We start from the raw sequence: 1,559 nt of genomic DNA, 5'->3' as shown, positions 1-1,559 counted from the left end.
TGATGGTAACGGTGATGAAGCTTTGCTGTGTCATGTATATTTCTTTTTTGATTTTTCTCCAAATAACCAACACTATATTAGCCTCCAATTCTCTTGAATTTGGATTTGTTTGTTTTTGGAGGAGAAACACACTGGTGAATCTGAACTCAAAGTGGGCTCAATGTACGAGCAGAGACTACCACAGGGGCCTGGTCCCATTCAGATTGTACTAGATTCTTCCTCTTTCCCCTTCTAATTCTTAGGTTCTGACATTATATCTTTCTGGCATATTTATTGCTGTAAGAATGAAATAAAATGAACAGATGTGGAGAAACCACTAAAATATAAATTGATAAATATAGATAAATAAATATTTCTATTTTTACTACTGACCTGAAGAACTAGAAAATTCAGAATTATAGTACTGATACATCAGTAAAAGCATTCTGAAATCTTCCAACTACTCCATCATATGAACTATTTCATGCCATCAACTCTCCCAACCATCTCTCAAACATCAAGCTCTTTTAAGAGCAGGGACAGTGCCATTCATTCAATCATTCACTCAATCTAAAAATATTTACTGAGTCTGTATTATATGGCAGGAATCAATCTAGTAGGTAGGGCTACAGTGATGAACAAGACATGAGGTCCTAATGGAGTTTCAATTGCAGTGTTTGCTGGTGATAATGGGTGGGGGAAACTGTCAACAATGAAATAGACAAACAGACAATTTATAAAGATTACTATGCTTGCTATGGCTTGTTTATCAGTATATTCCCCTAACACAATGTCTAGCATACAGTAAGTACTCAATAGTTATCTGCTGACTAAATGTATAAATGCATATCTCAAAACCCTTTTCTTCTAGGCCAACATTCTGCTTTCCCCAACTGATAACTCACTTGAACTAATGTATTTTGCTGCAAATGTGCATTTTAACAACAGTTATTTGGTTAATGCTATACCAGAGGGAGACACTGAAATAGAGCATAGATAAAGCCAGTGGGAAGCAGTTTGGAGTTCAGAAGATTTGGGTCACTTTATAGCTTACATCTATTATGGTACTTCCTCTTTTTGAACTCAAGGCCCAGTTTTTAAAGCAGGGAAGGTACATAACAGTGTTAGTAGTAAGTGATAGGAATTATACACTTCTTTTACAAAAGCTAATTCAAAATTATTTGAACATCATTCAAAATGTTATTTTAACACAAGCTTGTGGAAGATTCAATTCAACTCTATAGACAACTTAGATGAGTTATTTGCTTAAATGCTTGCTAAGTAAGATCGTAAAAATAAAACCTTAAGGGAACTCTTGAGGTGATCAAATATGTTATGGGGATTTGGGATTTTTGATAAGCGATACGATTCTTTACAAAATCTCCATGAGCTCAAATAATAACTATTTTCTAAGACATTAACTCAATATAATATTGCACAGGGCTAAAGAGTAGACAGGTGAAACAAATGGTTTCAGAAAGTTATAACTCTTCCCCACTTCCTTTGCATCATAATTTGGCTGCTCAATTTTTAGAAAAGTAATAACTGACCACAAATAATGCAATATGTAGTAAAATTTA

The 1,559-nt window shown here is 34.1% G+C and overlaps 1 annotated feature.

Annotated features, from left to right (window-relative positions):
- Positions 906–1,106: a silencer, noted in NCBI's record as "peak1393 fragment used in MPRA reporter construct". NCBI's record gives its function as "represses an SCP1 promoter by STARR-seq MPRAs in K562 erythroleukemia cells {active_cell/tissue: K562}" and the evidence as "EXISTENCE:reporter gene assay evidence [ECO:0000049][PMID:32103011]".

The sequence above is a fragment of the Homo sapiens genome, chromosome 11 (genome assembly GCF_000001405.40).
Source record: "Homo sapiens chromosome 11, GRCh38.p14 Primary Assembly".
NCBI lineage: Eukaryota > Metazoa > Chordata > Mammalia > Primates > Hominidae > Homo > Homo sapiens.
Note: the sequence above shows the minus strand (reverse complement) of the source record. Positions and strands in the feature narration are given on the sequence as shown.